Below are 20518 nucleotides of genomic sequence, written 5' to 3'. Positions count from 1 at the left end.
ATTGGGCTTCATCAAAATTGAAAACTTCCGTGCATCGAAAGACATTATTTAGGGCCGGACACAGTGGCTCACGCCTGTAATCCCAGCACTTTGGGAGGCTGGGACTGGCGGATCACTTGAGGACAGCAGTTCAAGCCCAGCCTGATAAACATGGCGAAGCCCCGTCTCTACTAAAAATACAAAAATCAGCTCGGTGTGGTGGCGGGCGCCTGTGGTCCCAGCTATTTGGGAGGCTGAGCCAGAACAATCGCTTGAACCCGGGAGGTGGAGGCTGCAGTGAGCCGAGATGGTGCCACTGCATTGCAGCCTGGGCGACAAGAGCGAAACTCCGTCTCAAAAACAAACAAAAAAAACTCCGTCTCAAAAAAAAAAAAGAAAAAGCTACACAAATAGCCAACTGGCACATGAAAAGATACCCAACATCATTAGTCCTTAGGTAGATGCAAATCAAAACCACAGTGAGATACCACTTTATTTATTTAATTTTATTTACTTATTCCCTCCTACCCCCCTTTTGGCTGAAGTGCAGTGGCGCGATCTCCGCTCCCGGCAACCTCCATCTCCCCGGCTCAAGCCGTCCTCCTGCCTCAACCTCGGAGTAGCCGGAATTACAGGCACGAGCCACAACACCAGGCTAATTTAAAAAATATTTTTGGCCTTCCGCCACGGCCGCCATGGAGAGCAGCAGCCATGGCTCTGCGCTACCTTATGGCCGTGGGCCTCAACAAGGGCCACAAGGTGACCAAGAACGTGAGCAAGCCCAGGCACAGCCGCCGCCGCGGGCGTCTGAGCAAACGCACCAAGTTTGTAGCGGGACATGATCCGGGAGGTGTGTGGCTTCGCTTCGTACGAGCTGCGCGCCATGGAGTCACTGAAGGTCTTCAAGGAGAAATGGGCCCTCAAGTTCATCAAGAAAAGGGTGGGGACGCACATCCGTGCCAAGAGGAAGCGGGAGGAGCTGAGCAAGGTACTGGCTGCCATGAGGAAAGCCGCTGCCAAGAAAGACTGAGCCCCCTCCCCTGCCCTCTTCCTGAAATAAAGAACAGCTTGACGGAAAAATAAAATAAAAATAAAAAATATTTTTGTAGAGACGGGGTCTCGCTTTGTTGCCGCCCAGGCTGGTCTCGAATTTCTGGCCTCCAGCGATCCTCCTGCCTTGGCGCAGCGTTGGGATGACAGGCGTGAGCCACCACGCGCGGCAGCAAATCTGAGATTTAACACAGAGAGCCAGTATGTGCCCAGCGTATGTGTATGTAGTGCACAGAATATGTGGACCACCCTCTATAAAGGTTCATGCATGAGGAGGTCGGCTCTCTCTCACAGTCTAGCAGTTTTCCACACAAAAGCGGCACACATTTTTGCACCGGTCTCCAAAATGGTGTCTGGTTTGGGAGCCCGCAGCTTCCGGAATTACAGGCTCTTTCCTGCTTCCAGGGCACCATTCCAGGCCTGGCCTCAATAGGCCCAAGGCGCAGGCCCAGAGGAGGCCGGGCGGGGTGGGGGGCGGGGTGCGCTACACCCAGTAGGGAGCAGCCCCGGGCGTCCGTGCCGCCCGCAGTGCTGGGACGCCCAACACCGACCAGCCCCGGAGCCAAGTGTGGGGGATGGCAGCCCGCACACATCGGGGCTGGCCTCGCCTCCCCTGGGAGGTAGGCTTGACAGCACAGGGGGTCGGTCCAGCCTTAGCACGGGGCCAAAACTCAGAATGGGGGAGGGGCTCCATCTCCCCTTGGGGCTCTCCAGTTTGGGGGCCTCGGGGCTGTTCTGGTTTCCAGGCTGAGCCTCACCATCTTGTTTAGCACATGGTTAGGGGGCCTGGACTGGAGCCCAACAACCGGGGCTCTGAGACTGGGGCACCCTGGGGCCGCGGGGTTGCTTCTTGGGTGGATGAGAATGTTCCAGAATTAGACAGTGGTGATGGTTGCACAATCTTGCCAATATAATAATAAAAAAACCCACTGGATTGAACCCTTTTAAAAAAGTTAATTTTAGGGTATGTGAACTATATATATATATATATATATATATATATATAAAGGATGTTTACTACACCATGCTGTAATAGTTAAAGTGAGAAACATCCTAGATATCCAACAACAGGGGAATTTTGTAAGAGTCTGTAGACTGGCCGGGCGCGGTGGCTCATGCCTGTAATCCCAGCACTTTGGGAGGCCGAGGCGGGCGGATCACGAGGTCGGCAGATATGTGAGACCATCCTGGCCAACATGGTGAAAACCTGTCTCTACTAAAATACAAAAAGTTAGCCGGGCGCGGTGGCGTGCGCCCGTAGTCTCAGCTACTCGGGAGGCTGAAGCAGGAGAATCCCTTAAACCTGGGAGGCGGAGGTTGCGGTGAGCCGAGATCGCGCCACTGTGCTCCAGCCTGGGCAACAATAGTGAAATTCCGTATCAAAAAAAAAAAAAAAAAAAAAAAGTGGGGGGATTCTGTAGACTAGCGGGCTGTAATGTGCAAAACGCTAACGCCACTGGTCTGTAAAGCTGAATACAAAGTAGCTTCTACAGGCCAGGGCGGTGGCTCACGCCTCTAATCCCAGCACTTTGGGAGGCTGAGGTGGGAGGATAGCTTGAGCCCAGGAGTTCAAGACCAGCCTGGGCAACATAGTGAGACACCCCTCCGCCCCATCTTAACAAATAATTTAAAAATTAGCCGGGTGTGGTGGTGCATGCCTATAATCCCAGCAGTTAGGAGTTGTTCACTGTAAAACAACATTTTAGACAGCTGACTTAAAAAACAACAAAATTTTCTCTTAACACTTATTTAAGAAATACTTCAGGCGCAAGCTTTGTACTAACGCCCACCCTGAGTTGGTATTTTCAATCCTATTTTACAAATGAGGAAACAGGCTTACAGGACTAGGTACCACACCCAGCGTAAGTTAAATGGTGGAACAGGGATTCCACCTCTGTTGGTAGGACCCCCAGGCCTGGTTACCCACAGAACACCACCTCAGGCCGGGCGCGGTGGCTCACGCCTGTAATCCCAGCACTTTGGGAGGCCGAGGCGGGCGGATCACGAGGTCAGGAGATCGAGACCATCCTGGCTAACACGGTGAAACCCCGTCTCTACTAAAAATACAAAAAATTAGCCGGGCGAGGTGGTGGTCGCCTGTAGCCCCAGCTACGCGGGAAGCTGAGGCAGGAGAATGGCGTGAACCCCGGGGGCGGAGGCTGCAGTGAGTCGAGATCGTGCCACTGCACTCCAGCCTGGGCGACAGCGAGACTCCGCCTCAAAAAAAAAAAAAAAAAAAAAAAAAAAAGAACACCACCGCGACTCTAATTTCCATCGTTATTTAAAATCAGAGTTTGGGACTTTGGAATTGTTTCCTCTAGGAAGCCGTCCCCTCAGTTTTCTTTGCTTCTGGCTGCGCTGCTGGAGTCACAAGACAATGCCTGTAGAACACCATGGTGAAAGGCGTCATGGTTTCTGAAGCCCCCGGGGAGCCCACGAGGCGTGGCTTTCTCGCTAACTCACAACTCAGAGTGGAGGCGAGGGCCAAACCCAGGCCCCATCACTTGCTAGTTGTGCGCTACCCCGACGGACAACCAAACTGCACCCCTTTCTGCGTCTGACAAGGACATCATAGCGCTGGCAAATGTTAGCGCCTGTGAAGCCGGCAGCACAGAGCCGGCCACTTCGTAAGCTTCAACCACACCTAACCTGTTATGCTGACCTGAACATTCACAGGGGACACCGCCCCAAGGCCCGCAGCCCAGCCCCCGCCAGGTGTCGGGTGGGGCCTTCAGCAGCAGGTCTCAGAGAAGCGCTTAGAGAAACGCCCTCAGCGGCGACACTCGGGGTGCCCTCCCTGCGTGTTTACGGTTGCAGCACTGATCCGGCCGGAGGGCCCCACGCGCCCCAGAACGGGCGGAGCGCGCCGGCCCAGCTGCCACCTAGGCCCGGTGGCGCCGGCGTTCCACGTGCTCACTCCTCCCCGCCCCTCCCCGCCCCTTTCCCTGGCCTTCCTCGCCGCGCCTGTCTCCCACCCCGAGCTCTGCAGCGGGAGCGCGGCAGCCCTCGAATCGATGCCAGTAGGCACCCCAGGCAGCACAGTCTTACCTGTTCAGCGTGTCCCTTCCGGATTCCCCTCCGGCTCAGCTCTGCAGGAGTTGGAGCGAAGCGTGCAAGGACCCGGAAAGACCAAGGTGTAGCGTCAGCCAGTTAGGTGGATGCGTTTTGGTGTTGTAGCAGCCGATAGGGCTATAGCGGCCGTTCTTTCCTTCTCACTGGACGCGGCTTCTGTCTGTCGACGTCAATAGGGACGATCTCATGAAGAAGGCGGGGAGTGGGGCTTCGGCTCCTCCCAGGCCTGGCCTGTCTGGGGCGGATGCACGTGGAGGCTGGTCATGGAGCGCTTGGGGGTGGGGCCAGGCGCACGCGGGGGCGGGGCCGGGGGCTGCTCCCGGAGCAGCGGAACTGTCTGGAGACCCTTTCGTGAGAGACCGTGTCTTCCTCCCTCCGCAGGGTGATGCGGCCCTGGAGAAGTCCTCTCGCTGTAGTGGAAAGAGCGAAGGAGTCTGTGAGGCGAGGGACAGAAGTAACGTGATGTTACGACTGGCGGCGAAGTCTTCGGCAGTGGCCTCAGGCGGCCGAGGCCGCTGCCCTGGGTCTGCGTTCAGGGTGTAGCGTAGCGAGCCCTGACCGTGAAACCGGGGGGCCTCCGTGTTGGCTCCAGTACTGCTGCTTGCTGTGGGACCTAGGGCGAGTCTCTTCCCTTCTCTGTGCCTTGATTTCTTCTGTTGAGAGAAGGAATCGGATCTATCATTCTCATGTCCTCTCCAGCTTAGAGTTTGTTCAGACCACCAATATTTCTAGAATGACCTATGTGTGCTGTGCCTGTCCCAGGTATCAGCTGACGGTTATGAGATCTTATGAAAGGAAAACGGAAGCCTCTGATGGGCTTGTGTCCCGAAGAGACAGTTTGTGAGGACAGCTGGATTCACAGAGGCTAGGCTTGTTGGGGTCCAGCAGTAGGCCTGGTGTGTCATGCGGCTCCGTAACACAGGCCCCTGCCCGCGGCTTGGACCCGTTAGAAAGCAGGCGGTGGGGTTCACCCATTGCACGCCGTGCGAAGGCATTTCAGCTCTTAACCAGGAAGCTAGGATTTCAGGCTAAACTCCTGGCTCTCAGGAGTTTATAGATAAATGCAGTATGTGGAGCGGGGCCGGGTGATGAGGGAAATGAGAGAAGTGGGCATAGTCAGAATAAAGAACCGCTTCATGAAGCTTGAGCGGCCTTGAAGAGAAGGCAGAGAAAAATTCTAGCTGAACAAACAACGTGACTGGAGGCCGGTTCAAGCCGGCTGGATGGGAGGGGAGTCTTGGAAGGAAAACTCAGCAGGGTGGGTTGGGGCTTGGTGACGCAGCAATTGCCAGGGAAAGAGTAGTCAGGCCGGGTGCAGTGGCTCACGCCTGAAATCCCAGCACATTGGGAGGTTGAGGCGGGTGGATCACTTGAGGCTAGGAGTTCCAGACCAGCCTGGCCAACATGGCGAAACCCCCAACTCTACTAAAAATACAAAAAATTAGCCGGGCGTGGTGGCGGGCGCCTGTAATCCCAGCTACTCAGGAGGCTGAGGCAGGAGAATTGCTTGAACCCGGGAGGCGGGGGTTGCAGTGAGCCGAGATAGCGCCATTGCACTCCAGCCTGGGTGACAGAGTGAGACCCTGTCTCAAGAAAAAAAAAAGTAGACAATGGGAGGCTCTGAGGGTTCTAGAGTTGGGAAGTGACAGGACTAGAGCTGTGCTTCTGGGAAATCACCGTGTAGGGGGTTGGGGAGAAAAGATTGTGGAAGTCAGCTGGGAGACCCCTAAGGAACTTATTGCAGCAACAGTCCTTGTGAAAGGTAGTGAGGGCCAAACCAGGGTGGGGGTAGCCAGGATGGAAGGGGGGTACAGATGGGAGGCAGAATTCAGAGGGAGAATCGGCCAGACTTAACTCTCGGGGAGGAGTCAAGCTGGATTTTCCACTGAAGAGCCAGGGGACACTTGAGGAAGGTGGCAGGAGGAGTTGGCTTGGGCTTGCTGAGTCAATGAGTGGCTGGCAGCCGGCCAGCAGGCTCTGTTGAATGTCCACAGAGGGGACAGTGACGTGGGCATGAGATATACCTCGGGGACCTGCAACACACACAGATGAAAGATTAAAGAATGTTTGCAAATCAGTGAACAAATGAAGCTTGCTGGGCCTTGGGCAAGTCATGAGGCATTCCAACCTCAGTTTCTTCACAGATTAGAATGAGGATAAGACATCTACTGAGAAAGGTTGTAAGGAGTAAGCGCTGATGATGGAGTACCTCACCCAGGACTTGGTGCACAGCGCCCATTGGTTAAGCACCCGCGATTATAAAGGTAGCATGGTATCTAGATGGTGTATATTACCTTCAAAAGTAAAAATTATTTTTTCATTTCATCTCCAGAATTTGAAGCCAAGGCAAATGTTGTAATGAAAAGGAATGAATCTATAGAAAGAGGTTGGAAAATATCTGGCACATGGCAAAGACTAAAACAATATATATATATTTTTTGTCTGTTTTGAGATGGAGTCTCACTCTGTTGCCAGGCTGGAGTACAGTGGCGTGATCTCGGCTCACTGCAACCTCTGCCTCCCAGGTTCAAGCTATTCTCCTGCCTCAGCCTCCCAAGTAGCTGAGATTACAGGCGCCCTCCACCATGCCTGGCTAATTTTTTGTATTTTTAGTAGAGATGGGCTTTTGCCATGTTGGCCAGGCTGGTCTTGAAATCCTGACCTCAGGTGATCTGCCCGCCTTGGCCTCCCAAAGTGCTGGGATTACAGGCGTGAACCACTGCACCCGGCCTTCAAATACTAGATCTTATTCATTCTTTCAAACTATGTTTTTGTACCCATTAGCCATCCCCACATCCTCCCATCCCCCAAAATATAAAATTTAAATGTTAATTTAAACAAATCAACATTTGTTTAAATCAACTGCAGAAGTTGTCCTTTTAAAAAAAGAAAAAACAGGCTGGGCGTGGTGGGTCATGCCTGTAATCCCAGCACTTTGGGAGGGAGAGGTGGGTGGATCATGAGGTCAGGAGATCGAGACCATCCTGGCTAACATGGTGAAACCCCATCTCTACTAAAAATACAAAAAATTAGCCAGGCGTGGTGGCGGGCGCCTGTAGTCCCAGCTACTCGGGAGGCTGAGGCAGGAGAATGGCGTGAACCCAGGAGGCGGAGCTTTCAGTGAGCAGAGATCGTGCCACTGCACTTCAGCCTGGGCAACAGAGCAAGACTCCATCTCAAAAATAAAAAAAAAAAAAATAAAAAAACACTTTTTTTTCTTATAGAGATAGGGTCTTACTATATTGCCCAGCCTGGTCTCAAACTCCTGGGCTCAAGTGATCCTCCTGCCTCAGCCTCCTGAAGTATTGGAATTACAGGCGTGAACCACTGCACCCAGCAGGAGTTGGCTATTTTAAGAGGTGACTTGTACGTAAGTTGCCACAGGAACTAGGATGCCTGTCAAATCACATCATGGAGACTAATCCAAAATAAAATCAATGCAAGAGAAATGTAATTAAATTAACATGCCCATTGTGGGGTAACAGTCCATCCAGGGCCTAGAAAAAGGATCATTTTCATCAGAATTTCTCAGTGTTTTTTCAGTAGTATCCAAGTGAGTGTCTTGGTCACTGAAAATCTTAATCTTTTTTTTTTTTGAGATGGAGTTTTGCTCTTGTTGCCCAAGCTGGAGTGCAATGGCATGATCTTGGCTCACTGCAACCTTCGCCTCCTGAGTTCAAGTGATTCTCCTGCCTCAGCCTCCCGAGTAGCTGGGACTACAGGCATGTGCCACCACGCCCGGCTAATTTTGTGTTTTTAGTAGAGATGGGGTTTCTCCATGTTGGTCAGGCTGGTCTCGAACTCCCAAACTCAGGTGATCCGCCCGCCTCAGCCTCCCAAAGTGCTGGGATTACAAGCGTGAGCCACTGCATCTGGCTGGTCACTGAAAATCTTGATATAGAACAATTCCCTAGTTCATTTCCTTTTTTTTTTTTTTGAGATGGAGTCTTGCTCTGTTGCCCAGGCTGGAGTGCAATGGCGCCGTCTCGGCTCACTGCAACCTCTGCTTGCTGGGTTCAAGTAATTCTCCTGCCTCAGCCTCCCGAATAGCTGGGATTACAGGCTCCCGCCACCACGCCCAGCTAATTTTTGTATTTTTAGTACAGCCAGAGTTTCACCATGTTAGTCAGGCTGGTCTTGAACTCCTGACCTCAGGTGATCCACCCGCCTTGGCCTCCCAAAGTGCTGGAATTACAGGCGTGAACCATCGCGCCCTAGCCTCTAGTTCCTTTGCTAACCTAATGAAATACCCAACAAAATTCTCTACACCTCTTTGTATGATTACGTATTCACCAAACTGCTGATGACTGACTCCATTATCATGATTTTGGAAAAGAGGGAGCCGTGGGTAATGGGCAAGAATATTCTAGACATCAGGAAGTTACATGTCTCAATAATTAACTGATCATATTCGTATTCTGTGTACTTGGGTAGACAAGCAGTTTCCAAGGATCTGGTCCCAATAACTTAATACACAAAATGTTGAAACCCATAAATCTGGGGACAAGATTTTGCCTCTAAAATACTAGTCTTAGCTGGTTAGCAGCCTGACCAATATAACAGTTAATAATGCATAATAATCTAAGAAAACTTGAGAAGCAGAAAAGCACAAAGTGAAAAAATACCCAAATTACCTGTGATAAATCTATCCCTCCAAAAAAACCACTGTTAATATTTGGATGTGTTTTTTCTAAGCATGTGTTTGTTCTAACTGTTTATATCTTTCAGTTATTAATTCAACAAATATTTATTGAGCACTTGGAATGCCAGATCTGTTCTAGGTGCTGGGAATGTAAGTACATTTTAAGAAAATTGTTTTTGAAAACAATCACAAACTAATAGAAAACTTCCAACTACAGAATTTTTCTTTTTCTTTTCCTGAGGGTAACCACTGACTTGATGTGTCATCAGTCTGGAATACTTTTAGTTTGTATTTCTTACAGACATAGGCATTCTCCTATGTATCCAAAGCATAGCCATCAAAACTGAAAAATTGACATTGATATACCACTGTCACCTAATCTTCAGCTCCATTCAATTTAATTCAATTGAATTTAATCTCCATGTCATAGAAATTGGTATTTAGAAGCCAAGACCTGAATGCTAAGTGTGCTTATTGCTATTACGGTATCCCTGTTCCAAGGCACTCTTCATGGTTACAGTTGGGAACACACACTCACACACTCCCACACTCACTGTGACATCTATATTTATTTGTACATCTATCAGTTTACCCACCTATCTTGAAAACCATGAGTTTACACCAGTATCTCCAATTCCAATCCATCATATAGGGCTGATTCTAGTTTTCTCCCTTTCTGTATTTGTAGCTTCCTTCTCCAGCAGTGAGGTTCTCATTATTTTTATTTACTTGTTTGATCAATCCCTTTGTAGGTAGACATCTCCTCTCTCTGCCCCCACCCCCTACCCAATACAGATGTCCTTCTTCCCCACTCAGGCTCTGGGAACCTGTGCTGGGAAACCCTGTACCCTTTACGCACGAGGAAGCCTTCCCTAGTCTTCCTGGGCTCCAACATTCCATGTGTGGATACAATTTTGAATAAGACAGACAAATTCCTTCCTTTCAAAGAGCTTACATTCAAGTGGGGAGGGGGACAGATAAATAAAAATAAAAAGGCCAGGTGCGGTGGCTCATGCCTGTCATCCCAGCACTTTGGAAGGCCAAGGAAGGTGGATCACCTGAGGCTGGGAGTTCGAGACCAGCCTGACCAACATGGAGAAACTCCATCTCTACTAAAAATACAAAATTAGCTGGGTGTGGTGGCACATGCTTGTAATCCCAGCTACTTGGGAGGCTGAGGCAGGAGAATTGCTTGAACCCAGGAGGTGGAGGTTGCAGTGAGCCAAGATGGCACCATTGCACTCCAACCTGGGCAACAAGAGCGAAACTCTGTCTCAAAAAAAAAAAAATAAAATAAAATAAAATAAAATAAAAATAATGGTAAGTACAATGACAAGACAAGATGATGTGATAAGAAGTGACTGGGGGCTACTTTGGGTCAGGTGATGTGACTATTCTCTTTTTGCTCCCTTGTCCCCCATCTACTCTTCATCCTTCTTTGGGCTGCTCTGTGCATATCTACAAAATGGATTACCTAGACTCCTTTGCTGCCAGCCTTCTAGTTGAGTTCAACCAGTGAGAGACACCAGTAGTAGATAGGTGGGTGGGTGGGTGGAGAGAGAAATGAGGATTTTGCTTGCTCCTTCCCTGCTTGGGAATGTTTTCTGGCCCCTGGTCCAGGCGCCAGAAATTTCATTTCCTCCCCTTGCTCCTTTGAGCCTCCTGGTGGTCATAGCTTCCTACTCTTGCTAGCCCCTGGGTGCCCCAGTGGTCTTATTTCTCTTCATCTTGCCTAAACTGTTAATAGTTCTTTTGAATCATCTCAGTCGGATTCTGTTTCAGAAAAGGGCTCTTTAAGGTAATTACTTTTTTGTGGTGTTTAAACAGTATATTATGAATAATGTTTTTTTGAGGCCAATAAGTATTCTTATACAATGTGATTTTCAAAAGTGCAGTCTGATTAGTCAAGACAGGTCACTATTTAGCCAGGCGTATCTTTCTGGATCTGAGTGCAGAATGGATTTCCTTCTCATCCTGTCCTGGCCTGATGGCTAAATATCTTAAATTGTGCATTAAAGAGAGAGCATGGGGCCAGGCGTGGTGGCTCACGCCTGTGACTCCAGCACTTTGGGAGGCTGAAGTGGGCAGATCACTTGAGACTAGGAGTTCGAGAGCAGCCTGGCCAACACGGCGAAACCCCATCTTTACTAAAAATACAAAAAATTAAGTGGGCATGGTGGCACACTCCTGTAGTCCCAGCTACTTGCGAGGCTGAGGCAGGAAAATCGCTTGAACCTGGGAGGTGGAGGTTGCAGTGAGCTGAGATCATACCACTGCACTCCAGCCTGGGCAACAGAGCAAAAAAAAAAAAAAAGAAAAAAAAAAGAGCATGTTGTGGTGACTCTACCTCCCCAGGCATCTAGATTACACAAATAACAGAGTTTGTGGCTTATTTATGGTATAGAACTGTATTTCTTTCAGCAGGATTCATCCTTAGCTGTTAATTCCTCCACTCCTTGCCATGGAGAGGGGGTCTTGGTCTTAGAAATCAATGAAGCCTTTTCTTGGACACACAGACAAGCCATTCCAGGGGATGGTGTCAAGAATGGTGCTTTCATTTGGAGGATTCCTAAAATAATTTTTATAGCTTTTTTCCCCCTCTGTGTTAAACATTTGCAAATTTGGGGGTCTTCTTCCAAGGAGAGTCTAGACTAGAGAATGAGGAGGGGCTCAGAGGAAGAGTACCTCGCTGGAGCTTCCATGAGCATCATTCCTGACCTCAGCAAGATAAAATAACATAAAAGGATGGGCATTGTTTCCCGTGACTGACTTTATTGGTGTCAACAGCTTTATAAACATAGAAAGCTATAGATTGAGAGAAGGGGGGAAATCAAGCAGAATGAGAACAGGAAAAAAAAAACAAAAAAACTTGAGGCATGCAATTGTTCGAAATCTTACTGCCTCCCTGGTTTCTTCTGCATTTGAATTTCTGTTGAACACTGATAGGAGGATTCCCTTTAGGGGACACGAGGAAGGGAATTGGGAAGAATTCGGCTTCCGTTTAGCCCTAGGAAACTACAGAAGGACTTGAAGCCAAACTGAATTAATCAAGAAACTGTATGTGTGTGTGCCTCAGGAGACTTCCTGAAAATCGGATGAGAATGTTGTTCTTGGCCCCAGGAGAGAGGCATAGGGACTTTGAGGGCATGAATTTTTCTGTTGTGTTTTCTGGGATCACATCTGTACAAAATCAGGTAAGCCAAGAAAGTAAGCAGCCTCTTCAGCCCCAAATTGTGTGCCCCCCTAATCTCTCAGGTGAGTCAACACCCTTGGGGCCACATGCTTTCATAAATCAATTTATTCCTTGTTCTGTCCCAAATTTGAGGACATAGTCCCCTGTTATGCATTAAAGGAGATAATTTGAAGCACTGTAACCTCATCCTTCCAGATTAGAAAAGTGTTGTACCATGGGTAAATGAGACAACCTATTTGGAAGTGTTTTGCATACTGGAAGGAAGACACTTTATATAATTGTAATTATTGTTAACCATTACCCAAAATACAGCCTGGTGGTCCAGACTGCATGCTGTGGAGGCACTTGGCCTGTGTTTGAATTCCTGTTCCTTTGCAGTTTAACTGTGTGACCTTGGGCATGTTACTTGACCTCTCTGGATCTGAATACAGAATGGATTACCTTCTTATCCTGTCCTGGGTTTCTCCAGGACAGCCTCAGTTTTCCCATCTGAAAAATGAGGAACCCACCTCAGTGTGAGGATTAAATGTACTGGGATTATACAAAGATGTAGAATAACGCCTGACCCACAGTGAGCGCTTGAGGACACAGTGAATTGGGACCCATAAGGATGCATGATAACCTTCTTCCACAGACATAGTGAGAATCCCAGCAGCTTGGCTGTAAAAGCTGGGAAAGTAAAGGAGAATGCAGAGGAGGGTTTTCCAGGCATCTGTTTTCCCATTCTGAGGCATGGGTATGATTTCTCTACTCCCCAGAGGAAGCAGCTCTTTGAGACAAGGGTAAGATTCAGCCACGGTGTGTTGCTGTTGTAGAAGCTTTAACCACCTCAGCTTACAGCAGAGGTTTCAGCAAAATAAGCTTCTCTTTCTATAAATGGCTTCTTCTCATCGCATCTCTGTGGACAGTGTCTAATGGTGGGATTGGCTCATTTTCTGGAACCAAATAAACATTTGTTCCCACTAGCCCCATAGTGCTAGCACCACTATTAATGAGCGGCAATGTTGTCCATTGCTGCAGGAGTCATTAGGGAAGCCCTGGTAGAGCTCTGTTTATTACCACGGGAGGTGTCAGAGGCAGAGAAAGCACAGCTGGGGCTTCCAGGCTCCAGCAGATCACGCAGCGCAGGCAGCCAGAGCCATCATTCTTAGACTTGTGAAGTCAGGACATAAATTCCAAGAGGAATAAGAATGGGTAAGATAAAGGAGTTGGGGTCTATGATTCAGAGTCATTTTTCAGATTTCTGAAATTTCAAATAAGTTAAGGTTAGATCGTGGCACAATTTAAAGCACACTTCTTAAGGGGGTCGCAATTTGAGCAATGCCTTATTAAGGAACAAGCTAAGCTCTGAGCTGGTTTCTTTGTCAGTGATTGTATTCTCTGATACTCACTAAATATGCATTGTAGGTGCCGTGGATTGGCCGAGCCATCAGGGAGATCTTCAGAATGAATAGGGTCCATCAGGGTACAACATGCACAGAATATATATTGTGGCAAAATCCACTGGCCCCTTAACTCTGAGACCAAACCAGTCCCTGCAAGCACACTGAGATTATGCACAGCTAGTTGCTTGGCAGAGAATACTGAATTTACTTATTTATTTTAATTTTTTATTTTTTTGGGACAAAGTCATGCTCTGTCACCCAGGCTGGAGTGCAGTGAAGTGCAATCATGGTTCATTGCAGCCTCAACCTCGCAGGCTCAAGCTATCCTCCCACCTCAGCCTTTTGAATAGCTGAGACTCCAGGTATGTGCCACCATGCCCAGCTAATTTTTTTTATTTTTCATAGAGATGAGGGTCTCACTATAAGTTACCTAGGCTGGTTTTGAACTCCTGGGCCCAAGTGATCCTTCTGCCTCAGCCTCCCAAAGCACTGGGATTATAGGTGTGAGCCACCATGTCTGGCTGAATTTATATAGATAATGAGATTGCTACAGAAAGAGGTACTTCTCAGAACTTGCTTAAGGCAGGCTGACAATCACAAAAAATTTGTTGGTGCTGGTTTTAGACGAGGTTGCTTTTGGCTAGATGGATCGGTATTAGTTTGAAAGGACTGCCATAATAAAACACCGCAGACTGGGTGGCTTTATGCAACAGAAATTTACTTTCTCAGAGTCTGGGAAGCTAGAAGTCCAAGATCAAGGTGTTGGCAGGTTTGGTTTCTTCGGAGGCCTCTCACCTTGGCTTGTAGATGGCTTTTCCTCTGTGTGTGAACATCCCTGGTATTTCTCTGTGCCCACATTTCCTCTTCCTTATAAGGATACCAGTCAAATTGGATTAGGGCCCAGCCTAATGCCCTCCTTTTAACTGAATCACATCTTTATTTATTTACTTTTTGAGACAGAGTCTCTCGCTGTTGCCCAGGCTGGAGTGCAGTGGCATGATCTCGGTTCGTTGAAGCCAGCCCGGTTCAAGCAATTCTCATGCCTCAACCTCCTGAGTATCTGGGACTACAGAGGTGTGCCACCATGCCCAGCTAATTTTTGTATTTTCGGTAGAGACAGGGTTTTGCAAGTTGGCCAGGCTGGTCTCAAACTCCTGACCTCAAGTGATCTGCCCGCCTTGGCCTCCCAAAGTGCTGGGATTACAGGTGTGAGCAACCGTGCCCAGCCTGAATCACCCCTTTAAAGGCCCTATCTCCAGATACATTCATATTCTGAGATAGTGGGGATTAGGGCTTCCCTGAATTTTGGAGGGAGGCATGATTCAGCCCATAACATGATCCAGTGAGTAAATGTATTGAGAACAATGGGAGATGGGATTCTCACTATTGGAAAAGAGAGCTATAAATGTGGAAAGATTGAAAACCAGATTGGGATTGAAGTACTAAAGTGCAATCATGGACACACACACACACACACACACACACACACACACACACACACACAGAGATATAAATATGTACAGGTACATATGCAGATGTTCTTGCCTCTGGCTACCGAGAGGGCTCAGGAGCAGCAAGACCCTGACAGCAGTACAACCAGTGTTCAAATCTTGGTTCCTAAAAATTATTTTTTACTGACAGGAACCAGGTTTGTTGTTGTTTGAGAAATGGCTGTTTCCAGGGCTAGAGCAGGGAAGTTCTAAAATGAGACTGGGATATTTAATTTGAAGGGGCTCCTACTGGCCAAATCTGGGACTATTTAAGCGTCAAAATGAATGATGAGGCTGGGCGCGGTGGCTCACGCCTGTAATCCCAGCACTTTGGGAGGCCGAGGCAGGCGGATCACAAGGTCAGAAGATCGAGACCATCCTGGCTAACATGGTGAAACCCTGTCTCTACTAAAAATACAAAAAAATTAGCCAGGCGTGGTGGCGGGCGCCTGTAGTCCCAACTACTCGAGAGGCTGAGGCAGGAGAATGGCGTGAACCCGAGAGGCGGAGCTTGCAGGGAGCCGAGATCGCGCCACTGCACTCCAGCCTGGGCGACAGAGCAAGACCCCGTCTCAAAAAAAAAAAAAAAAAAAAAAAATGAAAGTAATGAATTATAACCTATTGAATTAGTAGGAATCGTTGAATCCACACTGATATAATTAACTAAATGAATAAATAGGCCAGGCGATGTGGCTCATGCCTGTAATCCCAGCACTTTGGAGGACAAGGTGGGTGGATCACTTGAGGTCAGGAGTTTGAGACCAGCCTGGCCAACATGGTGAAGCCCCGTCTCTACTAAAAATTATAAAAAATTAGCCGGGCATGGTGGCACGTGCCTGTAATCCCAGCTACTCAGGAGGCTGAGGCAGGAGAATCGCTTGAACCTGGGAGGTGGAGGTTGAGGTTGCAGTAAGCCTAGATTGCACCACTGTATTCCAGCCTGGGTGACAGAGCGAGACTCCATCTCAAAAAAAAAAAAAATGAGGAGAGGAGAAAATATTTTCTTGCAGCAGAGTGTCAATGAATAAATGGAGAAGGAACGATGGAGTTAGAAAATCACTATTTACGCTGGGCGTGGTAGCTCAAGCCTGTAATCCCACCACTTTGGAGGCTGAGGTGGGAGGATTGCTTGAGGGAGATCGAGACCAGCTTGGGCAACATGGTGAGGCCCCGTTTCTCCAAAAAAAAAAAAAAAAAAAAAAAGAATAAATTAGCCAGGTGTAGCAAATGCCTGTAGTCCCAGCTACTTGGGAGGCTGAGGTGGGAGGATTGCTTGAGCCTGGGAGATCAAGGCTGCAGTGAGCCCTGATTGCACCAGCGCACTCCAGCCTGAGTGAGAGAGTAAGACCCTGTTTTGAACATAAATAAATAAATGAAATCATCATTTGGCAATCATTATCATCATAATTAATTCAGAACTAAGAAACATCAATGGACGCTGAGGCTAGAGAGCAAAAGTTTGACAAAGTAATGGTATCTACATAATTTCAAAATATCTCCTAAAAATGCTTATTAATTACAAAGGGGAAAAGAGTAACATACAGTGGAGAAAGCTGGCAGATACCACCTTAATCAGGTGATCAAAGTTAATATCACCAGTAATGACACAAATCTAGATTGCATACCATCTGATGGGAGGCAATGAGAAGAACACAGTGTCATTTTTTTGTGGTATTTCTGCCAAAAACACATATCCTGAATCTAACCACGAGGAAACATCAGACACACACAAAAAACTGTCCTGTAATCTCCAAAAATGTGAAGGTCATGGAGACAAGGGAAGTAAAGAACTATTCCAGATTGAAGGAGACAAAAGAGACATGATGCAACAGGTCATCTGAAATGGTTTATTTTGTTTTCTAGAGGATATTAATGGAACAATTTGCAAAACTTGAATGAGTCTCTAGATTAGATGGTCATAATGTATCGTGTTAATTTCCTGATTTTGGTGTTTTTATTTTGGTTATATAGAAGGATGTCCTTGTTTAAAAGAATTATAGACTAAAGTGTTTATGTGTTATGGGGCATCATGTTGGCAATTTATTTCCAAATGGTTCAGGAAATCAAGGGGTTCTTTATCCTAGTCTTGAAAATTAATGTTTAAAATTATTCCAAATTTATAAAATTATCTAGACAAGAAGAAGGTAAAATAAACGTATTTTACAAAACAAAACAGACAAACAAAAACTGAGTGTTTGTTACCAGCAAACCCACTGAAGGAAGTTCTAATGCACATTTTTTTTTCAGGCAGAGTGAAAGTAGTCTCGGATGGAAGGTTGGAGAGAAATGAAGGAACAAATAAACAAATGGAGAACAAAGAAAAGGGTAAATGAATGGGTAATGTACAAGAACCTCAACTGTAGAGTTTTAAAATACATGACAGAAAATAAGTTGGGAAGGAGATATGTAAAGTTAAATATTCTTTTTTATTTTTGAGATGGAGTCTTGCTCTGTTGCCCAGGCTGGAGTGCAATGGTGTGATCTCCACTCACTGCAACCTCTACCTCCTGGGTTCAAGCAATTTTTCTGCCTCAGCCTCCTGAGTAGCTGGGATTATAGGTGCCTGCCACCATACCTGGCTAATTTTTGTATTTTTAGTAGAGATGGGGTTTCATCATGTTGGCCAGTCTAGTCTCAAACTCCTGACCTCATGTGATCTGCCTGCCCCAAAGTGCTGGCATTACACCCGTGAGCCACCGTGCCCAGGCTAAAGTTAAATACTCTAAAAATTGTTTGCATTTTCTGGGAGGAAGGTAGATGTACTGATTACACTATATTTTGATAAGCCAAAGATGCATATTATAATGGAGTTTCGCTCTTGTTGCCCAGGCTAGAGTGCGTGGGAGGATCTCAGCTCACTCCATCTCAAAAAAAAAAAAAAAAGGGAAAATACAGGTAGTCTTCTAAATTATCTTATTAAATATTTATGTACACACACACATATATATATATATATATATATATATATATTTTTTTTTTTTTTTTTTTTTTTTTTTTTTTGAGACAGAGTCTCGCTCTGTTCCCCAGGCTAGAGTGAAGTGGCACAATCTCAGCTCACTGCAGCCTCCACCTCCTGGGTTCAAGCAATTGTCCTGCCTCAGCCTCCTGAGTAGCTGGGGCTACAGGCGCCCACCACCATGCCTAGCTAATTTTTGTATTTTTAGTACAAAATGATGGGGTTTCACTATGTTGGCCAGGCTGGTCTCGAACTCCTGAGCTCAGGTGATTTACCCACCTCAGCCTCCCGAACTGCTGGGATTACAAGGGTGAGCCATTACACCCAGCCTGTATTTTCTAGAGATCAAGGAGATGGTTTTAATCAAGACTGGATGCCAAAAGTTATAAAAGAAAAGATAAACATATTTGACTAAAACATTAAAAATATTTTGTAAGTGATACCATAAAAAAGTTATTGGGCAAATGATAGTAACTGTAATGCAGATGGTAGTCAGATTTAATTTCTGTAAAGTTAATCTTGCAAATTTCAGCTCCTATAAATTGACAAGATTAATATTAAATGATACAAGTAGATGTTTTCTATTGCTTCCCAACAGAAAAATGGGCAACAGATATGGAGAGAAAATTCACGGAAGTCCAAATATATCCAATAGCCATATAAAAAGGTGTTCAAATGTCTTGGTGGTCAGGATGGGGCCACTGGCATTACCTTCATATAAACAAGAAAAGGCTGGGGCCCCTTCCTCTGCACTGAACACCATTAGGATGCTTGTTTTTGCAAACCATTTGTGGGCCAGATTTCTGCCCCATCGTCCTATGCACAAACTGCACAGTGTATGCAGTGGCCCAGATTCAGAGAAATGCAAATGCCTAATGAAATATTCCTTTTTATCCATTAAACTGGCAAAAAATTAAGAAGAGTCATGATACCTGTTGCCAGCAGGACTGTGGGGTGACATGTGCTCCATCCATTGCTAGTGTTGTCATAGAGCATTCTGGCCTTTCTTTTTTGGAAGGCAGTCTGGCAATATCTATTAAAATTAAAAATACATATTTCCTTTGACCCCAGAATCCTACTCCTAGGAATCTATTCCATAAAATAAAAGTGCTAATTTGTATGAACATGTGTGCAAGAATATTTATTGCAGCCTTGTTTGTAGCTGCCAAGAACCAGAAACCTAGTGAATGGCCATTAATCAGGGAATGGCTGAAAAATTAAAATATATTACTCCATAGAATATTATATGGCCATTCAATGGGATGAATGATAGCCTTACCAGATGTCTGAGAGAGATTTCCAAGAGATACCAGTGAGTGAGAAAAGTAAGATGCAGAATGAGTGTAATGTGATTCCATCATTGTAAAAAAAGAACAGAAAACCTCCCTGCATGTGTCAGTGTATATGAAAATGTATACTGGTGTGTGTATGGTTACAAAGGAAAATATATATGGACACACCCTATGTTCTTGTTAATGTTGGAGGAGGAGAGGAAAAGAGAACAGTTGTTCGTAATAAAAACAGCAAGTATGATATGATCCTATCCATGTAAAACTGTGGCGTGTGTGTGTGTGTGTGTGTGCATGTGTGTGTATATAAATGCACTGCAAGAAGTCTACCTCATTTTTACTGGTTAGGATGGTGAGATTTTAAGAGACTTTCATTTTCATGATTGTATCTTTATGTATTGTTCCAATTTTTTTTTTTTTTTTTTGAGACAGAGTCTCAGTCTGTCACCCAGGCTGGAGTGCAGTGGCGCTATTTTGGCTCACCACAAGCTCCTCCTCCTGGGTTCAAGTATTCTCGTGCCTCAGCCTCCGAAGTAGCTGGGACTATAGGCGCATGGCACCACACCCGGCTAATTTTTTATATTTTTAGTAGAGATGGGGTTTTGCCATGTTGGCCAGGCTGGTCTGGAACTCCTGACCTCAGGCAATCCGCCCACCTCAGCCTCCCAAAGTGCTGGAATTACAGGTGTGAGCCACCGCACCCAGCCATATTGTTCCAATTCTTCATAATAGATGTGCATTGTTTTTATGTCCAGGAAAAAGATGAAATTATTTTCACATTGAAAATAAAATGAAAACAGAAACCAAATAAACCTCAAACTCCTAATACCAATAGGCCTCGGTAATGTATACATTCTTATTTATCATTGGCTTGAGGGGGCTCAGCTGGAGAAAGGGATGAAAGAGCATGAACAAAGGGAACGCCTATTGCTCTGAAGTATTACCTCCATTGTGGATTATGGGGCAGTTGGGAAAAGGTTTAAAGTCACACATACATTTGCCACTGCCCATCTCTTTGATGGCTTTACTGTGTAAGCAGAATCATTTGCTGCTTTAGGTAAACTTACTTTTTTTGTTTGTTTGTTTTTTTGAGACAGAGTCTCACCCTGTCACCCAGGCTGGAGTGCAGTGGTGCAATCTCGGCTCACTGCAGCGTCCGCCTCCCAGGCTCAAGCAATTCTCCTGCCTCAGCCTCCCTAGTAGCTGGGATTACAAGCATGAGCCACCACGCCGGGCTAATTTTTGCATTTTTAGTAGAGATGGGGTTTATCATGTTGGCCAGGTTGGTCTCGAACTCCTGACCTCAAGTGACCCGCCCACCTCGACTTCCCAAAGTGTTGGGATTACAGGCATGAGCCATCGTGCTTGGCCTTAGGTAAACTTTTAAAAACTTTTAGTAGAAGTTTGATATTTTGGTATTTGTTTTTTTCCTTGCGGGAGATGCACCATGGTAAACTGGTTT

At 46.5% G+C, this 20518-nt stretch overlaps 1 protein-coding gene and 1 pseudogene across 18 annotated transcripts in view, besides 5 other annotated features; one reads left to right on the top strand and one right to left on the bottom strand.

The window, feature by feature from the left end:
• Nucleotides 1–4157, bottom strand: part of DCAF4 (DDB1 and CUL4 associated factor 4) — a 35635-nt gene extending 31478 nt beyond the window's left edge. For 9 of the 18 annotated variants that reach the window (NR_147990.2, NM_001352448.3, NM_001352449.2 and 6 more), the window contains exon 1: nucleotides 4078–4157. Coding sequence is in view for 4 of the 18 variants with exons in the window: in XM_047431256.1 (XP_047287212.1) it covers nucleotides 801–864 (64 nt within the window). In the remaining 14 variants the exon portion in view is untranslated. Of the gene's footprint in view, nucleotides 1–800; nucleotides 874–3691; nucleotides 3851–4077 lie in introns of those variants that run through there. The other 9 variants (XR_007064003.1, XM_047431256.1, XM_047431257.1 and 6 more) reach the window with 2 other exon arrangements.
• RPL36P3 (ribosomal protein L36 pseudogene 3) lies at nucleotides 657–1056 on the top strand (annotated as a pseudogene).
• Nucleotides 2583–3447: an enhancer, noted in NCBI's record as "H3K27ac-H3K4me1 hESC enhancer chr14:73393882-73394746 (GRCh37/hg19 assembly coordinates)". NCBI's record gives its function as "activates a minimal SCP1, AML or CMV promoter by ChIP-STARR-seq in naive H9 embryonic stem cells {active_cell/tissue: H9 hESC(naive)}" and the evidence as "EXISTENCE:reporter gene assay evidence [ECO:0000049][PMID:30033119]".
• Nucleotides 3889–3948: a silencer, noted in NCBI's record as "silent region_5902". NCBI's record gives its function as "represses an Ori minimal core promoter by ATAC-STARR-seq in GM12878 lymphoblastoid cells {active_cell/tissue: GM12878}" and the evidence as "EXISTENCE:reporter gene assay evidence [ECO:0000049][PMID:35858748]".
• Nucleotides 4119–4388: an enhancer, noted in NCBI's record as "active region_8691". NCBI's record gives its function as "activates an Ori minimal core promoter by ATAC-STARR-seq in GM12878 lymphoblastoid cells {active_cell/tissue: GM12878}" and the evidence as "EXISTENCE:reporter gene assay evidence [ECO:0000049][PMID:35858748]".
• Nucleotides 4679–4778: an enhancer, noted in NCBI's record as "active region_8690". NCBI's record gives its function as "activates an Ori minimal core promoter by ATAC-STARR-seq in GM12878 lymphoblastoid cells {active_cell/tissue: GM12878}" and the evidence as "EXISTENCE:reporter gene assay evidence [ECO:0000049][PMID:35858748]".
• Nucleotides 5179–6045: an enhancer, noted in NCBI's record as "H3K4me1 hESC enhancer chr14:73391284-73392150 (GRCh37/hg19 assembly coordinates)". NCBI's record gives its function as "activates a minimal SCP1, AML or CMV promoter by ChIP-STARR-seq in primed H9 embryonic stem cells {active_cell/tissue: H9 hESC(primed)}" and the evidence as "EXISTENCE:reporter gene assay evidence [ECO:0000049][PMID:30033119]".

Source organism: Homo sapiens, chromosome 14 (genome assembly GCF_000001405.40).
Source record: "Homo sapiens chromosome 14, GRCh38.p14 Primary Assembly".
In the NCBI taxonomy this organism is placed as follows: Eukaryota; Metazoa; Chordata; class Mammalia; order Primates; family Hominidae; genus Homo; species Homo sapiens.
Note: the sequence above shows the minus strand (reverse complement) of the source record. Positions and strands in the feature narration are given on the sequence as shown.